The sequence below is a fragment of the Homo sapiens genome, chromosome 3 (assembly GCF_000001405.40).
Source record: "Homo sapiens chromosome 3, GRCh38.p14 Primary Assembly".
In the NCBI taxonomy this organism is placed as follows: domain Eukaryota; kingdom Metazoa; phylum Chordata; class Mammalia; order Primates; family Hominidae; genus Homo; species Homo sapiens.
In genome coordinates, this window is record NC_000003.12 from 34,106,204 (window position 1) to 34,112,750 (window position 6,547).

General features: G+C 42.6%; 1 annotated feature.

Moving 5' to 3' along the window:
- Positions 991-1,040: an enhancer, noted in NCBI's record as "active region_19654". NCBI's record gives its function as "activates an Ori minimal core promoter by ATAC-STARR-seq in GM12878 lymphoblastoid cells {active_cell/tissue: GM12878}" and the evidence as "EXISTENCE:reporter gene assay evidence [ECO:0000049][PMID:35858748]".

The following is a 6,547-nucleotide window of genomic DNA, read 5'->3' on the forward strand; positions in this document are numbered from 1 at the left end:
GGTGTATGTAGGGGTGGTGCAGGGTGAGGAGGATGAGGGGGCTGCTGCTGTCTGTCCTGAGCCAGAAGAATGGGGCACGCATTTGTTACTATTGTCTAGTGTGCCTCCTCTGGTGGTGAGTGGTGTCTGGTATTTGTTGGGCCCTCTCTTTGTCCTCTTTTAGGGAGTCAAATCTGCAAGGAATGGGGCAGAGTGATATAGCCGCTCCCATGTGCATGCCTTTGGCCTTGTGCTGTTGGATTTGCATTGGCTCATAAAAGAATAATGAACTATATCAATTTTTAAAGCTGCCTAATGCTCCTCTCAGCTCAGCTGTCTAAAAGTTTGCAAAGCAGACTACATGGCTCCTTGGAAGAAGGCCAGGACACATGACCAAGAGTCAGGGCTGCTGCTGTGACTGCTAGCACCCTAGATTGTTCCTTGGTGGGTGCCACAATGGTGGGAGGGGAGAGAAATGACCCGACTGTCATTTGGGACAGAGGGCAGGAGCTGAGAGAAGAGCATTTTGCATGAATTGCCTTCTTTCTGAGTTCCTAGGTAGACCGAATTCAGGAGTTTGGGAAAAATTTCTAAAAAGGCAAGTTCTTTGATTAAATCCTTTACCATAGATATTTTCTTCCCTACATGTGTTTGCTAACTGTGCCAGTTATAAAGCTATTATCTCTCAGCTCCAACCCAACATCCTGAACTCTGTTCGGTGATGCTGGGGCTGGGTCTCTGCAAACCACATTTCTGCCTTGCCCACTGGTTCCTTGTTAAGCTTTGCCAGTAGGGGGCAGAAGAGGGTGAAGGAATTTGCTTCTTCCTGTTTCCTTACTGTTCTGTGCAGTACCCTGGCAATGCTTTCTCACCTTAGCAGAGCCAGCTCATTCCCATAGCAGCAGCTGAATACACTTGGTAGGTTTTCCAGCATTCACAGAACCAACCTCACTGGGGAAACTCCATGAAGCCATCGACACCAGCCAGTTGCCACCTGCTCCTCAGAGGTCTAGGTCCCATCTCTGAAGGCCTCCTCCTCCAATCTTCTGAAGTTTTAACAATTCCAATATCTTCCCAGTGTTCTGCCATCTCTAGGGATTGAATAGGGTGACCAACTCATCTGGTTTTCCTGGGACTTTCTAGGTTTTAGAGAACTGAAATTCCAGTATCCTGGCAACCTCTTCAGTCCTAGGCAAGTTATGAATGTTGTTCACCTTAGAGCAGTAGATGCTTCCTGCAGTTGCTACCTCAGTTACTGAGTTAATACTGTTATATCAAGATAGCAATTCTTTATAATAATTTTTCTCTGTCTGAGTAACTGGTGTGATTTCTGTCCCTGATTGGATCTTGATGCAGCCTCATGTCTGATACTTAGGAAGCAGTGTTAAATCAGAGAGCATCCATTACTGTGGGCAAAATATAAAATGTTCCACTAAGGAGTATTACCTTGTTTTATCACTGCTATTTTGATCACTACTGCTATAGCAGCAGCTGCTGCTCTGGGTGATAACAATACCTCACATATGTATAGCATCTCACAGCTCACGGAGCATGGTTGGCCACTATTTTTTGCTTGCTTTTCCAAGAGCTTTGTGAGGTAAGTACTATCATCTCTGCCTAACTAAATTCGGAGAGGGAGAGTGACTTGCCCAAAGTCACATAGCTAGTCACATATTGCTGAGTTTCAAACTTACTTAAAAAAGAAATTCCGGTTCTTCCTCTTTTTACCTTGTAGCCTTTCTTGAGTTTAGTTGCAGGCAAGCAGCTGTTATCTTTCAGTTTTTAGTGCTTCCCACCCTGCTTCCCGTAGCCTCCACCCAGAAGCCTTTGAAGTTTATCTAGCTCTACTGGACAAAATGGACCACAGTGATGCATGGACTAAGGGTACTAGGTTCTGGGTCCTGCACATTCTGCTGGACATCGCTTCGATACTCAATGCTGACATGTTTTACATTTCCAGTGGATTTTCATTTAAACTAAAAGCTTTCTACAACCTTGGACTTAGACTGGGTTCACTTAAAAGGCATTTCTCAGAACACTCAATTTTATTAATATCATAAAATAATGTATGTTAAATAGCTGGATCATTTTATATTCAGAAAACACTCTCAATTTGAACTGCTTTATTTGGATAGTGATTGAAGGATTCCTGTAATTGATCTTGCTAGGTGGCCTTGGAGAAGTTTGTCTGGAAGATGGAGATTGTGGGAGTGCTAGGAAGGCAATGCAGCCTGTGCCTTAGCACCATCCAGCACCACCCCTCTGCTACCATGGAGAACAAAAACATCTCTGACGTAGGCCCTACCCTTGGACTGCTTATACTTTAATTATTGAAATCAGAGCCTGTGCTTAATGATTCTGAAGCAATGATATGATTCTGGCAGCCATGTTAGAGTGGATGGAGCACTGTATTCGGACTTAGAAGACTGGTAGAAGTGAGAAACTTGAGTAAATAACAACCTCTCTGATCCTCTGTTTTCTCAACTCTAAAATATGGGTAATATTTAATATCGATTAGGATGTAGTTTTGAAAATATTAGAATCCACAGATGGCCAAATCTTTCCTTTTTCATCACCTCTTATGTCCACTGGTTTCTCAAGAAAGTTAAACACACAATAACAGAATAGGATCCAAAGTAGTATTTTACTGATACCTAGGCAAGAACCCCCCAAACTCCAATATACTTGCATTAATTATTTAGTGCTTACTGACATAAAAGAGCACATATTTCTTATCTTACAGATTCTGTGGGGCATAAATTTGGGCCTGGTTTAACTGGGTCCTCTGTTTCATGGTCTCTCATGAGACTATAATCAAAGGACCAGCCAAGACTGGGTCCTCATCTGAAAGCTCAACTGGAAAAGTCTGCTTCCAAGCTCACTTAACGTGACTGATGGCAGGATTCAGAGTCTTTTGAGCTGTTATACTGAGAGCCTCAGTTTCTTGTTGGCAGTTGGCCAGAGGCTGCCCTCAGTTTCTTGTCATGCAGTCCTCTTTAATTTATCACCTTGCTTCATCAAAGCCAGCAAAAGAGAGTTTGTTAGGTGTCTAGAATGGCTGGCAGCTGGCTAGGGCTTACTGTCTCCAGATGGTTCCTCATTGTTTTTTTTTTTTTTAACACAGCTGCTGGATCCTAAAAGTGTGAAAATGGAAACTGTTAGGTCTCTAAGGCTTAGATTACAGAATTTGTGTAATATTACTTCTGCCAGCTTGGTGCAGTGACTCATACCTGTAATTCCAGCACTTTGGGAGGCTGAGGCAGGAGGTTTACTTGAGGCCAGGAGTTTGAGACAAGCTTGGGCAACAGCAAGACCCTGTGTCTACACAGAAAAGATTAGCTTGGTGTGGTAGCACACACCTGTAGTCCTTGCTACTTGGGAAGCTGAGGCAGAAGAATCCCTTGAGCCCAAAAGTTCAAGGCTGCAGTGAGCTATGATTACACCACTGCACTCTAGCCTGGGTGATGGAGCAACACCCTGTCTCTAAACAAAACAAACAAACCAGCAAACCAAAAATCCACATTGCTTTAGCCCATATGCTATTGGTTGAAACAAGTTACAGGGCCAGCCTGGAATGAAGATTGGGGAAATAGACTCCACCTGTTGATGGAATGAGTGTCATGCATGTACTGGGATGGGCAGATTGCTGGCTGCCATTTTGCAGACAGTCTACCATAGCTGTGCACCTAGCCTTTTGCTTGATGTAGAAAGCAAGACTCAGCTTAAACATGTGCGGCAGTTGAAGTCATTCAAGCAAATAGAAGGTACCCTGAAGGCTTTGAAGGATCTTCCAGCTCTCAGGGGCCTATGTTTCCACTGAAAGCCATGACTGTTTTGCAGGAGACTCTGCTAGTACCAGTTCAAGGAAGGGGAAGTGAAAGCTGCTTGCTTGGTTCTAGACAGCACGTTTTATTTATCCCTGAGAAGTAAGACAGAAATGGAATGCCATCAGGATTTGAAAACATTTCTTTAAATATGATGCACTTAAATCCAAAGGCAGGTAATGAATTTTATTTCATGAGTAAAGCTTCAATATCTTTGATGAGCATATGCAACAAAAGCTGAAAACAAAAGGCATAAAATTACCATGGTGATGGCTAATTGTGTTGAATCTGCATATATTAGTTCCCAGTGACACAAATAACACTCTGGTAGGCTAAAGTGCTAAGACACAGAAAGTATTGTTCTGTTTAAAATGAAAATCACAGTCTGCTTTGATTAAAAAATAACATTAGATATATTAATATTGGCAAATTAAATACTGTCTAATGGTGAACAGAAAAGAAAATCATCATTTCCCCTCCAAACTATTTGAGAATCCAGTTTAGGATTATTGTGCTAGGGACAGGAATATGGTGATAAGCTCTGTACTAGAGGGACTTTTGAAATAGAATATTGATCTTTGGGGTCTTCCTCTTTCCTTTCAGCAGCATTTTTTGCACTGGCATTCTTTTCTCCAGATACCCAATTGTCTCCTCTGTAACTGGCACTGTGGTAGGAACTACAAGAAAGATAAAAAAGAAATATGAGGCTGAACTTTACAGTCATAACCAGTAGGCCTCAACACCTGCCAACTTTGGGCAAATAATTTACTTATGTGAAACTCAATTTCCTCATATGTAAAATGCGGAGAATGTGCACCTTGAATAAGATAATGACTATAAAGCATCCAGAACATATCATTTGTTAATGATATTAGTTGGAGAGATAAGGCCAGTTCACTTGAAATAATGGCAGAGTCAGGGAGACACTACAGTTATGTGTCAAACTGTCATTTGGGCTCCAAATTCTGGGGAACTTCAGAAAAGGAGGTCAGGCTTCCTGAATAAAAGGAGGCTTGAGCTGGGCATATCAATTGAGCAGACAAGTGCTGAGAGTCTGCACTTGCAAAGCATCTTATAAAGGATGGTGTGAAGGCAGAAATAGGCATGTTGGTGGGCAAGAGGGAGACTTAAATAATGTGCATGAAAGTGATGGCAACTAGTGTTGGGATTGCATCACAGAGGGTCATGAAATCCCGGTACAGGAGCATAGGATGTGATGGGTCTGTCTAGCAAGCAGGCTCCAGTTCTTAATGCCCTTAAGAAATCATATATATTCCTAATTATTTTAAGTTTGTGTAATGTGCCTTTTTCCCTGGAACCATTTCAGTTTCCTTTTTTCTTTCTTTTTCCAAATTATAATCCAATCTTCACCCTATAGTGCACTGTTTACTTTGAAGTGCAATTAAAGGACTGGGCCAAAAAGCAAATGGAGCACATCTTGCCAACTCTACCTGCAAAGTGCTTTACATTTGCTTAACTGTGACTCAGATTCGGAACGACCTGAGAAGGAACGGGCAGTGGTGTTTGGGTGCTGACAGCGCCATCTATTACCTTGCTGGCAGCCAGGAAAGAGAGCCAGTGGAACTATTTGAGAAAGGATGAACTAGGAAGCAAATAGTGATTCAAGATGAATAATAATTTCTCATACCTGTATTGTGATTTACAAGTCTTTAGAATGCTCTCACAGTCAGTAACTCATGTAATTCCTAGGACAACCCTATGAGGTTATTAAAGAAAATGCTGTCCTCATTTTACACATGGGAGAGCTGAAATTGAAAGAAAAAAGTCTTGCCCAAGTTTACAAAGCAAGTCAATGCAGAGGTAATTGGAAACTCAAGTTGTTACTTTCACCCATCAAATGTCTGTTCTGTGTTAACTGCTCCGGAATCCTCTGCCTCACTGTGTTGGTGGTAGACTGGAGGACACTATATTATGGATTAAATAGTTAGGGAACCAGCCAGGAGGCTATTTTTGGTGAATCAGACATGAGGTGAGGAGGGGTTGCATGATACCAGAGCTTCACTCTCTTATGATCCCTTTGGGCATTGTTTTTCAGTCTCCCAGTTGGCTCCCTTCCTCTCTGCTTAAGCATTGGCACCTCCCACTGTTTGGCTGTTGCCTCTATTCTCTTCTCTCTCTCCATGCTCCCATGGGTGAAGCCACTCTCTATAAAAGTCATTAACTTTTAGGATCCATTCTTTTTTTTTTTTTTTGAGACAGAGTCTTGCTCTTTTCACCCAGGCTGGAGTGCAGTGGTGAGATCTCGGCTCACTGCAACCTCCGCCTCCGGAGTTCAAGCAATTCTCTTGCCTCAGCCTCCCGAGTAGCTGGGGTTACAGGCACCCACCACCACGCCCGGCCAATTTTTGTATTTTTAGTAGAGATAGGGTTTTGCCATGTTGGCCAGGCTGAGTCTCGAATTCCTGGCCTCGTGATCCGCCTGCCTCGGCCTCCCACAGTGCTGGGATTACAAGCGTGAGCCACCGCGCCCGGCCGATCCATTCTGTATTCACAGTTCCAGCCCAGACAGATCTCCCAAGATCAAGATTTGTTTAAGGACAGTTTCTTGACTCACTGGGTTTCACCCTTCCCCTTTGTCTCTTGAATCATATTCTATCTTTTATTCCTTCCCTCTCCTGAATCTTAAAATTCTTCCTCTTCAGGAATCCTTCTTATTAGTATTTAAAACACTCAAATTTCTCCTGTTTGAAAATTAAAATAGAAAACTCTTCCCCATTTTTTTG